This window comes from Homo sapiens, chromosome 10 (assembly GCF_000001405.40).
Source record: "Homo sapiens chromosome 10, GRCh38.p14 Primary Assembly".
Lineage (NCBI taxonomy): Eukaryota > Metazoa > Chordata > Mammalia > Primates > Hominidae > Homo > Homo sapiens.
The window spans coordinates 5999710-6013495 of record NC_000010.11 but is presented as its reverse complement, the minus strand read 5'-3'; the positions used below and the strand labels follow the sequence as shown (position 1 = coordinate 6013495).

Genomic DNA, 13786 nt, shown 5'->3' with positions numbered 1-13786 from the left:
TGCAAAGTAGGGAGTAATTAGAAATTCCCATGAGCCAAATAAGAACTGGGAAAAGGCTAAGACCGTATTGTCCAATACAGTAGCCACTAGCCACCTGTGGATACTTAAGTGTATTTAAACTCAAATAAATTAAATACAATTAAAAATTCAGTTCCTCGGTTGCACTAGCCACATTTCAAGCGTTCCCTAGCCACAGGTGTCTGTGTTATCGGACAGCACAACTGCAAAAGATTTCCATCATCTCAGAAAGTTCTATAGCACAGTGCTGGCTAGAAACCAAGTGCTTTACTGCATGCACATCATTTAGCACAGTTAGTTGCTGTTTATTATTCCTGTTCCACAGCTATTGTCTGCCATATAAAAACTTAGGCCAGGCACAGTGGCTCACACCTGTAATCCCAGCACTTTGGAAGGCCGAGGCAGGCAGATCACAAGGTCAGGAGTTCGAGACCAGCCTGGCCAACATAGCAAAACCCCATCTCTACTAAAAATACAAAAATTAGCCAGGCATGGTGGCGTGTGCACTGGTTTAGAGTGAGGACCACATTTTTTTGGTGCCGTGTTACACATATGACCGTGACTTTGTTACACCACTACAGGAGGAAGAGTAGAAGAACAATCTAGAAAACCAAAAGAACAAGAATTTCTTGGTAAGAAGCCGGGAACAGACAACAGAAGTCATGAAGCCCAAGTGAAATCAAAGGTGCTAAATGGTCGCCCAGGAGACATCCGTTGTGCTTGCCTGCGTTTTGGAAGCTCTGAAGTCACATCACAGGACACGGGGCAGTGGCAACCTTGTCTCTATGCCAGCTCAGTCCCATCAGAGAGCGAGCGCTACCCACTTCTAAATAGCAATTTCGCCGTTGAAGAGGAAGGGCAAAACCACTAGAACTCTCCATCTTATTTTCATGTATATGTGTTCATTAAAGCATGAATGGTATGGAACTCTCTCCACCCTATATGTAGTATAAAGAAAAGTAGGTTTACATTCATCTCATTCCAACTTCCCAGTTCAGGAGTCCCAAGGAAAGCCCCAGCACTAACGTAAATACACAACACACACACTCTACCCTATACAACTGGACATTGTCTGCGTGGTTCCTTTCTCAGCCGCTTCTGACTGCTGATTCTCCCGTTCACGTTGCCTAATAAACATCCTTCAAGAACTCTGGGCTGCTACCCAGAAATCATTTTACCCTTGGCTCAATCCTCTAAGCTAACCCCCTTCTACTGAGCCTTCAGTCTTGAATTTCTAAAAAACAGAGGCCATGGCAGAATAATCTTTGGGTAACTTCAAAACGGGGCAGCCAAACCCATGAGGCAATGTCAGGAACAGAAGGATGAATGAGGTCCCAGGCAGAGAATCATACTTAGCAAAGTTTTACCTGTGCGTTACTAATTGGCCTCTTTAAGAGTTAGTTTCTTTGGGATTGCTATGAATGATACCCTGAATTTGGCCTGCACTAATTTGATGTTTACAGGTGGACACACAAGGTGCAAATCAATGCGTACGTTTCCTGAGAAGTGTCTAAAAACACCAAAAAGGGATCCGTACATTCAATGTTTATGCAAGGAAGGAAAGAAAGAAGGAAGTGAAGAGGGAGAAGGGATGGAGGTCACACTGGTAGAACGTAACCACGGAAAAGAGCGCATCAGGCCTGGCACGGTGGCTCAGGCCTATAACCCCAGCTCCCTAGGAGACCAAGGCGGGAGCATCTCTTGAGGCCAGGAGTTTGAGACCAGCCTGGGCAGCATAGCAAGACACATCCCTACAAAAAATTAGAAATTGGCTGGATGTGGTGGCATACGCCTGTAGTCCTAGCCACTCAGGAGGCTGAGGCAGGAGGATTGCTTGAGCCCAGGAGTTCGAGGCTGCAGTCAGTCATGATGGCACCACTGCACTCCAGCCTGGGCAACAGAGCAAGATCCTGTCTTTAAGGAAAAAAAGACAAGATGAGCATACCAGCAGTCCTTGAACATTATCAAAAAGTTCAGCATATTAGAATCACCGGGAGGCCTTGTTAAAAGAGTTCGCTGGGCCCATCTTCAGAGTCTCTGAGTTGTTGGTCTGGAATAGAGCCAAATGTTTTGTGTGTCTAACAATTCCCAGGTGCTGTTGCTGCTGCTACTATTCCAGGAACACACTTTGAGAACCATTGTGTTATTGCTCTGCACGCCCACCCACTCTCAACTCCCACGAAAAAAATCAACTTCCAGAGCTAAGATTTCGGTGGAAGTCCTGGTTCCATATCTGGTGCAAGATCTCCCCTCACGAATCAGTTGAGTCAACATTCTAGCTCAACAACATCACACGATTAACATTAACGAAAATTATTCATTTGGGAAACTATCAGCCAGTTTTCACTTCTGAAGGGGCAGGAGAGTGTTATGAGAAATCACGGCAGTTTTCAGCAGGGTCCAGATTCAGATTAAATAACTATTTTCTGTCATTTCTGTGACCAACCACATACAAACAGACTCATCTGTGCACTCTCCCCCTCCCCCTTCAGGTATATGTTTTCTGAGTAAAGTTGAAAAGAATCTCAGACCAGAAAATATAGATATATATTTAAATCTTACTTGAGTAGAACTGATTACGACTTTTGGGTGTTGAGGGGTCTATAAGATCAAAACTTTTCCATGATAATACTAAGATGTTATCGACCATTTATCTGTCCTTCTCTCAAAAGTGTATGGTGGAATTTTCCAGAAGCTATGTGATACGTGATGATGTCATCACTCTGCTGTTAACATATAATAAATTTATTGCTATTGTTTATAAAAGAATAAATGATATTTTTTAAAAAGTCTTGGTTTTTATTATAAATATGATAAATATTGCTAGCTATAATCTACATAACCAAAAACCTTTATAGTTTTTTGGTGCTTTTTTTTTGTTTTTTTGTTTTTTTTTTTTTTGAGATGGAGTGTTGCTCCGTTGCCCAGGCTGGAGTGCAGTGCACAATCTCGGCTCACTGCAGCTTCTGCCTGCTGGGTTCAAGTGATTCTCTTGCCTCAGCCTCCCAAGTAGCTGGGACTACAGGCACCCACCACCAAGTCCAGCTAATTTTTGTATTTTTAGCAGAGACGGGGTTTCACCATGTTGGCCAGGCTGGTCTCGAACTCCTCACCTCAAGTGATCCACCCAACTCAGCCTCCCAAAGTGGTGGGATTACAGGCGTGAGCCACGGCACCCAGCCTGGTATCCTCTATAGTTTTTAATAGTTTTAAATAACATGCAAAGATCCTGTGAAATGGCCAACAAGCACATCAACATCACTGGTCATTTCAGAAATGCGAATCAAAACCACAATGAGATACTACTTCATACCCATTAAGATGACTTTAAGAAAAAGAATAGGAATGCTCACAGATGGCTGGTAGGAATGTCAAAATGTGCAGCCACTGTGCAAAACAGAGTCTGTTTTGGCAGTTCCTCAAAAAGCTAAACATAAATTTGTCCTATAACCCAGCAATTGTATTCCTAGGTACACACCCAAGAAAGACAAAAACGTGTCTAAATACAAACTTGTACACGACTCTTTATAACAGCATTATTCATACTCACCAAGAGGTAGAAACACCCAAATACCCAACAACAAAGGGATGGATAAAGGCCGGGCATGGTGGCTCATGCCTGTAATCCCAGCACTTTGGGATGCCAAGGTGGGCAGATCATTTGAGGCCAGGAGTTGGAGACCAGCCTGGCCAACATGGTGAAACCTCATCTCCACTGTCTCTACTAAAAATACAAAAAATTAGCTGGTCATAGTGGCGCGCATCTATAATCCCAGCTGCGTGGGAGGCTGAGGCACGAGAATCCCTTGAACCTGGGAGGCAGAGGTTGCAGTGAGCCAAGATGGTGCCACTGCACTCCAGCCTGGGCGACAGAGGGACTCTTCTCTCCAAAAAAAAAAAAAAAAAAGAATTGATAAGCAAATCATGGCATATCCCTGCCAGTGGAGTATTAGCCACAGGAAGGGATGAAGTATTGATCCATGCTGCCATTTAGATGAACCTCAAAAACATTATGCTGAGTGAAGGAAGCCAGACACAAAAGATCACTACTGTATGACTCATTTAACATGAAATATCTAGAATAGGCAATTCCATGGAGACAGAAAGCAGATAAGTGTTTGCCAGGGGATTTTTCTGGGGTGGTAAAAAAGTTTTGAAACTAGAGGGAGGAGGTAGTTGCACAACATGTTGAATACACGAACAGCCACTGGATTGTATACTTTATCATGGTTAATTGTGTGTTATGTGAATTTCGCCTCAACTTTTTAAAAAGGAGATCCTGAGGCCAAAATATTTAAATATTGCTTATCTTATTCTTGATGCTCAAAGAAGGGTCATCAGCCCAGAAGGATCCTCCTGAAGTCTTTATGGTGACTTTAGTATTCTACTAAGTGAGTTATCAGGGGACCCTGAATTTTTGTTTTCAAAAACCAAAATTAGCATATTACTAAAGTTTATGGAAGACTCCACTTTGGTATTCTATCGAGAACGTAAAATTTGCATAGCTCCCAGGAAGGCTGCTGTTCCTGATGCATCACCAGAACTATCGTGAGTTGGTTTCAGTTTTTACTCGCTGGTATTCCTTCAGCTAAATGATGAATTCCTGCCAGTGATTTTCATGGAGGGGTTGTGTTGGCTGGCTCCCAACGTGCATAATCAATTAATTTGCTGTGGGTTGAAAATCTGAACAAACTGAAAGTCAATAACTCTTCTTAGGTCTGTAGAAGTAAGTAAGATTACAGGGTAGCTCACTGTCCCCAATATTGGAGAGGCAGACAGGCTGATACAGGGAAATCATAACCTCCTGGACCAGAAACCCAGGAACAAACCCTGCTACTGGAACCAGCAGAGGGGCAGGAAAACCTAAACTGGAACTGACAAATTGCTGGAGGCTCAGTGTGGACACTTCTGAGAGATAAAAATTTCAGGGGAGCAACCCAGTCACAGGGGGTCCCCACTTTCATGACCTTTCCCTCCAGGAACTCAATGAGGTCTTCACAGTGAAGATGGGAGAAAAACTTCCTTGTGCTTTTGACGGGGGAAAGAGAAAAGGTACTGTCACACGCATCCGTGTGAAGAGAGTCCACCAACAGGCTTTGTGTGAGCAACAAGGCTGTTTATTTCACCTAGGTGCGGGCGGGCTGAGTCCGAAAAAGGATTCAGCAAAGGGTGGTGGGATTATCATTAGTTCTTATAGATTTGGGATAGGCATACAAAGTACATTCACAAGGGTGGGGAGAATATTACAAAGTACCTTCTTAAGGTCAGGGGAGAACATATCGTATCAGTTAGGGTGGGGCAGGAACAAATCACAATGGTGGAATGTCATCAGTTAAGGCTATTTTCACTTCTTTTGTGGATCTTCAGTTGCTTCAGGCCATCTGGATGTATACGTGCAGGTCACAGGGGATATGATGGCTTAACTTGGGCTCAGAGGCCTGACAGGTACCATTCTGAAATATGCCAGAGCATTCAGTACTTGTCCAACAAGGCCTGCCCTCAAGAAACAGTATTTTCCTCACTATCTTAAATTTTACCATAGTCTAACCAACCTAAATTTTACCAGTGTCTAACCAACCTGAAAGAAGGGAAATAACCAGCTCTAGCCTCTCTGCCCTTCTTGTCTCATCTAAGGGAGGAGGCGAATGAAAAGCACTTGTGAAGGTCACAGCCCAGGGGTACAGGCTTGCTGAAGGCTGAACCTAATCATAAGACTATGGAATGGTTCCCCTCCCCCTGCACCTTACCACCACATCAGTGGGGCTGTTGTGCGCTCACAGGGGACTACAGTGGAAACAACTGCACATTTCAGTCCCTCTTTAAGAAGCAGTCTCTAGGGAAGCCCAAAGATGAGAGGGGAGACAAAAACAAAGACACTAGAGGGAATTTTAGCCTCTGACATCTACAGCTACAGCAAATAGCAAACACAGCCTAACTCCTAACCAGGTAAACATAAAGGCTCACACTAAAGGCCTATTTACCTTGGTTCCTTTTATGCTGTATATCAGGTCCAGCTTTCAACAAAAAATTACAAGGCATGCTAAATGGCAAAAAAACACAGATTAAAGAGGCAAAGCAAGCATTGTAACCAGACTCGGATACTACCATGTTGGAATTATCAGACTGGGAATTTAAAACAACTACACAAATAAGCCATTATGACAGAGATTTCTATGGTCCTGTAGATCCATTCTTCCCTTCCACCATCAGTAATAAAATCCCCAAATTTTAACCCAACACATTTCTGCCCCTAGCTAAAGACAACACTTTCTAGCCTCCCTTGCAGCTAAGTGTGGTCATGTGACTAAATTTGGATGAGATGTAAACCAAAAAGTATCTGAGACAGGTCTAAATCCATTCAGAGGTTTATATTGCCAAGATTAAAGACCATGACCTGTGATACAGCATCAGGAGTTCCTGAGAACATGTGACCAAGGTGGTTGAGTTACAGCTGGGTTTGATATTAATGCATTTTAAGGAGACAGAAATTATAGGCGAAGACATAAAGCAATACATGTAAGGTATACATTGGTTCAGCCTAGAGAGGTGGGACATGTCAAAGTGGGAGGCTTCCAGGTCATAGTTGATTCAAAAGTTTTCCGATTGGCAATTGGTTGAAAGAGTTAAGCTTTGCCTGAGGAGTTGAAGTCAGTAAAAAGAAATGCTTGAGTTAAGATAAGGGGAGTGGGGTTGTGGAAGACACTGTCCTTGTCATGTACACGAAGCTTCCAGATAGCAGGCTTCAGAGAGAATAGAGAGCACATATATCTTATTGGAACTTAACAGACGTCAGACTCTCTGGAAAAGACCCATTAAGAGAAGGGAGATTCCTCCAGTATGAAAATTAAGAGACAGCTTTGCAGGGCCACTTCAAAATATGTCAAAAAATATTTTGGGGTAAAATAATTTTATTTCCTTCTTGGCCTGTTATATGTCATGTGATGCTATACCAGAATCAAGCTGGGATTGGGTATCTTGTTGCTAAAGCATCTGTTTCTTAGGTCTTATGATCTCTATTTTAATGTAATCCTGGTCAGTTGATGCCTGAATTCCAAAGGAAGGGATTACAATGAGGCGTGTCAACCCCCCCACTTCTTGTCATGACCTGAACTAGTTTTTCAGTTTCTTGGGGATGCCCTTGGCCAAAAAGGGGCTCATTTAGTCAGTTGGGGGCTTAGAATTTTATGTTTGGTTTACAGAGATATGAGCAGAAGGGACGTGTGTGACGCCCAGGGTGTGCCCTTGAAGAGAATGTGCACACCCTCCTTCATCTCCTCTCACTGGTGGCTGCGTGCTCTTGCTCTCGTGAGCTAGAACCACCGGGAGGATAGAAGTCACACATGAAGCCTGAGAGGGAAAAAAAAATCCAAGGAGGCTGGGAGTCTGACCCCATGAGGTGCCCCAGCAGCAGTGCACACACTCAGACTGCATATGAGACAGAAATAACCCTCCCATTTGCTGCGATTTTTGCCCTTGTTAGGGCAGCATCCTAACTGTATCAATCACCCACACTCCTACTAAAATGACACCCTCGGCTATCGTTTGGATATGGTTTTGTTACCACAAAGGGGTCCTGCTCCAGACCACAAGAGAGGGTTCTTGGATCTCATGCAAAAAAGAATTCAGGACGAGTCTGTAAAGTAAAGTGAAACAAGTTTATTAGGAAAGTAAAGGGATAAAAGAATGGCTACTCCATAGACAGAGCAGTTCCGAGGGCTGCTGGTTACCTATTTTTATGGTTATTCCTTGATGATACGCTAAACAAGGGGTGGATTATTCATGCCTCCCCTTTTGAGACCATATAGGGTAACTTCCCGATGTTGCCATGGCATTTGTAAACTGTCATGGCAGCGGTGGGAGTGTAGCAGTGAGGACAACCAGAGGTCACTCTTGTCTCTATTTTGGTTTTGGTGGGTTTTAGCCGGCTTCTTTACTGCAACCTGTTTTATCAGCAAGGTCTTTATGACCTGTATCTTGTGCCAAACTCCTGTCTCATCTTGTGACTTAGAATGCCTTAACCATGTGGGAATGCAGCCCAGTAGGTCTCAGCCTTAGTCTATCCAGCCCCTATTCAAGATGGAGTTGCTCTGGTTCAAACACCTCTAACAGTTGTTTATCCCAAGCAAATCTCATGTTGGACTGTGATTCCCAGTGTTGGAGGTAGACCTAATAAGAGGTGTTTGTGTCATGAGGGTGGATCCTTCATGAATAGATGATTGCCCTCCCTGGGTGAGGGGGGTGAGTGAGTGCTCATTCTATTCATTCCCGTGAGAGCTGGTTGTTAAAAAGAGCCTGGCATCTCCCCCCACCCTTTCTTCCTCTCTCACCATGTGACCTCTGCACACAACAGCCCCCCTTCACCTCCCACCAGGAGCAGAAGCAGCCTAAGACCTTTCCCAGTGTAGATGCCCAATCTTGAACTTTCCAGACACCAGAACTGTGAGGCAAATAAAACTTTTTCTTTATAAATGATTCAGTCTCCAGCGGGGCATGGTGGCGCACACCTGTAATCCCAGCTACTCGGAGGCTGAGGCAGGAGAATCACTTGAACCCAGGAGTTGGAGGTTGCAGTGAGCAGAGATCGCGCCACTGCACTCCATCCTGGCCACAGAGCGAGACTCTGTCAAAAAAAAAAAAAAAGAGAGAGAGAGAGGGAGAGAGAGAGAAAGGAAGGAAGGAAGGAAGGAAGGAAGGAAGGAAGGAAGGAAGGAAGGAAAAAAGCAAAGAAAGAAAGAAAGAAAGGAAAGAAAGAAAGCAAAGAAAGAAACAAAGAAAGAAAAAGAAAGAAAGAAAGAAAGAAAAGGAAGGAAGGAAGAAAGAAAGAAAGAAAGAAAGAAAGAAAGAAAGAAAGAAAGAAAGAAAGAAAGACCAGTCTCAGGTATTCTCAGGTTACAGCAACACAAAACAGACTAAGACACCCTCTCCACCAAAATTCTGTTTGTATAGCATATTAGTATCAAAATCTTTTCAATGGAAAATGGACTCCAGAATCAATATTCAACATGACAGCAGAGTTTCAAGTAAATACATGTTTTCTGTTCCATAAATATTATCTGAAAAAGATTTCCCTACAGGAGATAAACAAGTAGATAAGATAAAATAACATTGGTTCTCTTTATTAATTTGAATACTCCCCTACTTTTCTTCAGAAAATCACTGCATTCATTCTCCAACACCCCTGAAGCCTTTCTGAAATGTTGGCTCACATGGAGATGTTCCTTTTGCCTGATGTCTTCTGGCTAAGTCAGAAACTGCAAAGGGAAACCTGCTGAAGTTTTAAAAACTTTTCCCTGTTATTTCCGTTTCTCCTCTTAAAGAGTGCAGTGCGAAACACGTGTCCTCTTCTTCTACGATGTTGATGAACATACCTTCAGAGCTAGCCTATTGATATGAAGGTAAGGATGAAAAGAAATCTGTTATCTCAGGGCAGTAGGATTATCAAGCACCATATCAGCAAATGCATCACTCGAAACTAAATTGTAAATATAGCCATGCACCGCATAACAATGTTTTCATCAACAACAGACTGCATATACACGACAGTGGTTCCATAAGATTATAATACCATATTTTTACCATACCTTTTCCATGTTTAGACACACAAATACGGCCAGGCGCAGTGGTTCACATCTGCAATCCCAGCACTTTGGGAGGCCAAGGCGGGTGGATCATCTGCGGTCAGAAGTTCCACACCAGCCTGACCAACATGGTGAAACCCCGACTCTACTAAAAATACAAAGTTAGCCAGGTGTGGTGGCGCATGCTTGTAATCCCATCTACTTGAGAGGCTGAGGCAGGAGAATCGCTCGAACCTGGGAAGCGGAGGTTGCAGTGAGCCAAGATTACACCGTTGCACTCCAGCCTGGGCAACAGAGTGAGACTCTCTCTCAAACAAACAAACAAACAAACAAAAAGATACACAAATATATACCTTAGTATCACAATTGCCTGCAGTATTCAGTATAGTAACCTGCTTTACAGGTTTGTAGCTAGGGACGACAGGCTATAGCAGCCCCAGAGTGCAGTAGGCTCTACCATCTAGGTTTGTGTAAGTTCACTCTGCGACGTTTGCACAAAAACAAAATCACCTAACAATGCATTTCTCAGAAAGTATCCCCATCATTAAGTGACTCGTGACTGTAATAGAAAATGAAAACCCACTGTCTCTCATAACTGTGTACCCTCCAGTGGTGCTTCCTGCATGGCTCAGCAACCTTATCAAGAACCTGGTTATGGGTATTTTTTCTTCTCTCTTTTCTGTCTCCAATGATGTCAAATTTATTCAAAGACCAGCTTAGCCTCGTGATAGCCAACAGGTTGTAGCTATTCCAGAATTAATATCAGATTATCACATCTAGAAATAAGAAAAGACATAAGGTTCCCTCGTTGGAGCTTCCAGCAAATGTCTTCTCCAGTCTTGTTGACTCAAACTAGGTTTCATATCTACTCCTGCACTGTGACCAGAAGATGTGAGATGATTCTGATTTCGTAAGGCCCAAGCCACAGACCTCACTCCTAGAACCAGTAATAAAGAGAAGATCTTAAAAGCAGCCAGAGAAAAACGAACCTTTGCAGAGAAATATAAATAAGGACGACAGCCAGACCCGATGGCTCATGCCTATAATCCCAGCACTTTGGGAGGTCGAGGCAGGTGGATCACTCGAGGTCAGGAGTTGAGACTAGCCTGGCCAACATGGTGAAATCTTGTCTTTACTAAAAATACAAAAATTAGCCAGGCATGGTGGCACATCCCTGTAATCCCAACTACTCAGCAGACTGAGGCAGGAGAATCACTTGAACCCAAGAGGTGGAGGTTGCAGTGAGCCAAGATCGCACCACTGCACTCCAGCCTGGGTGGCAGAGTGAGATTCTGTCTCAAAATAAATAAATAAATGCAGATTTCTCTCTGGTAACAGTATAAGTGGAGCAATATCTTTAAACTACTGAAAGAAAAAACTGTCAACCTAAAGTTCTATATGCAGGGAAAATAGCCTTCAAAAATGAAGATGAAATAAGTATTTTTAGACATATAAAAGTTGAAAGACTTCATAACCAGCAGGCTTACATGCCAATAAATATTAAAGGACTCGGCTAAAATTTCACTGGGTTGAATAATGTCTCCCCAGAATTCATGCCTACTTGGAACCGACAAATGTGGCCTTGTTTGAAAATAGAATCTTTGGAAATGTAACAAGTTAAGATGAAGTCATACCAGATTAGGGTGGACCTTAAACCCAATATGACTGGTGTTCTCATAAGAAGAGGGAAATCTGGACGCAGACCCACACAGAGGGAAGACAGCCAGGTGAAGACAGAGTCAGAGATTGGAGGATTTTTTTTTTTTTTTGAGACAGAGTCTCACTCTGTCACTTAGGCTGGAGTACGGTGGCACCATCTCTGCTCACTGCAGCCTCTGCCTCCCGGGCTGAAGAGATTCTCATGCCTCAGCCGCCCAAGTTGCTGAGATTAGACGTGTATGCCACGACACCTGGCTAATTTTTGTATTTTTTTGAGTAGAGACCGGGTTTTGCCATATTTCTCAGGCTGGTTTCAGACTCCCGGTCTCAAGTAATCCACTTGCCTTGGCCTCCCAAAGTGCTGGGTTAGAGAAGTGAGCCACTGCGCCCCGCTGGAGAGGTTGGAGCTTGATGCCACGAGCTGAGGAACACCAAGGATTGTCAGCAATAATCAGGTTATACACTGTTTGACTCCATTTATATAAATTTCTAGAAAATCCCAACTGCCCTATAGTGACAGAAAGCAGATCAAACACTGTCAGGGGAAGATGACAAAGGAACATTATCTTGATTGTGGTTTTAGGGGTGTGTACTCATGCCAAAACTTACCAAACTGTGTACTTCGAATATGTGCAGTTTTTCAATGTTCACTAAACCCCCAATAAAACTCTTTCTCAAAAAATTACCTGTTTGAAATTCCTAGCCAGGTTCTGTTTTTTGGACTGGCCCCTGAGTGAATCTCTCCTGGCCTCACCAGCCTGCAGGTCCAGATGAAACTGTGCTCTTGGTAATAACCCGTACATACACACACGATCTCCTTCAGAGCCTGCAGACTAAGGTGACGCCGTGTTCTTGGTAATAACCTGTAAATCACACACACACACACACACACACACACACACACACACACACACACACGCAGTCTCCTTCAGAGCCTGCAGGTTCAGATGAGACTGCAGTCTTGGTGATAACACACACACACACACACACACACACACACACACATGGTCTCCTTCAGAGCCTGCAGACTCAGGTGAGGCCATGTTCTTGGTAATAACCTGTAAATAACACACACACACACACACACACACACACACACACACACACACGCAGTCTCCTTCAGAGCCTGCAGGTTCAGATGAGACTGCAGTCTTGGTGATAACACACACACACACACACACACACACACACACATGGTCTCCTTCAGAGCCTGCAGACTCAGGTGAGGCCATGTTCTTGGTAATAACCTGTAAATAACACACACACACACACACACACACAGAGTCTCCTTCAGAGCTTGTAGGTTCAGATGAGACTGCACTCTTGGTGATAACACACACACACACACACACACACACACACACACACACACACACACGGTCTCCTTCAGATATTTTTAGGAGTCCACAGCATCCTGCAAGGCAGCCTTCCTGGGCTCCGCCTATGGGAGGGGAACACACTCCTCCTTCCCATTATATGTCGTATTTTATCACCTGGGCACTAAGACAAGTTACTGTGTCCTAGTGTCTCACAGAATCCTTTGTGAATCCTGCATCCCCGGCTTCTGCCACCAGCTTTGCTTTCCACAAGGTTTTGACACAGACCCATGGAAGAATCTCTGAGACAGGTACCAGGATGTCCTCTGCGTTCCTCCCTATTCTTCTCCCCCAGCCTCACTCCTCCAAAAATGCAACTAGAGTCACGGGTCCTGTCCCATATGTTTCCCAGAGGTGCCCAGATCAATCCCAATTCTAGGGGTGAACGCAGGTGGTCGGAAACCCCCGTCCACGTGCCTCACGATGAGGATGTAACACCATCTGCTAGGACCTCTGGACTCTAGGCTCTTCATGTGTTCATTTTACGAATATTTAACGGCACGCCTTAAGGAAACCCTAGACACAGGAGGCTCCATTGCCGTTGGGACAAAATGGCGTGTAAAGTGTTACAGTGTGGCAGAGTTCCCACATTAAGGCTCCACACCGTGTGCTCTGTTCCCATGCAACGCTTCCAGGCGGACTTGTGAGAACAAAGTCACCAGGTGCTCCTCTGTTGGGGGCCAGGAACACTCCACCAGGTGCAAAGCCCAAAAGGTGGGGAAACGGGAGACAGGCAGGAGAACTGGTTTCCTTCCCACCCAGGCCGCTCTCTGCTGTCACTGTGAAGGAAGAGGAAAGGAAAACAGAGATGGCGAAGTCTGTGCCCCAACTCTGTGCTTCTTGCTGCTTGGCAATTTGTGGAGGAAGGGTAGGTTCTAATAGGCAGAATCCATTCAGTTGTGATACCCAAAAGCCTAGGGCAGTCCGGCTGCGTTTTGGAAGCAGCAGCCAGGAGTACAAGTCCTGCCCACGGGAAGGAGGAAAAGCTGGAGAAAGCTTCAGACAGCCCTCTGAGGATCCCTCGGGCAAACGTGGCCTGAACGAGATCCAAATGTCCCCGCACTTCCAACTGGTGAGGGATGGCGAACTGAGAGCCTGAGCAGGCACACCTCCCAGGTATTAACAAGGGAGGGGCCTGGCTCCCCACCGATCCCC

General features: G+C 44.5%; 1 protein-coding gene across 3 annotated transcripts in view, besides 1 other annotated feature; it reads left to right on the top strand.

Moving 5' to 3' along the window:
* IL2RA (interleukin 2 receptor subunit alpha) overlaps positions 1 to 2807 on the top strand; it is a 51679-nt gene extending 48872 nt beyond the window's left edge. For all 3 annotated transcript variants that reach the window (NM_001308243.2, NM_001308242.2, NM_000417.3), the window contains one exon: positions 600 to 2807. In NM_001308243.2, the coding sequence (NP_001295172.1) occupies positions 600 to 624 (25 nt within the window). In that variant the 3' untranslated portion in view covers positions 625 to 2807. The remainder of the gene's footprint in view (positions 1 to 599) is intronic.
* Positions 10245 to 10404: an enhancer, noted in NCBI's record as "active region_2946". NCBI's record gives its function as "activates an Ori minimal core promoter by ATAC-STARR-seq in GM12878 lymphoblastoid cells {active_cell/tissue: GM12878}" and the evidence as "EXISTENCE:reporter gene assay evidence [ECO:0000049][PMID:35858748]".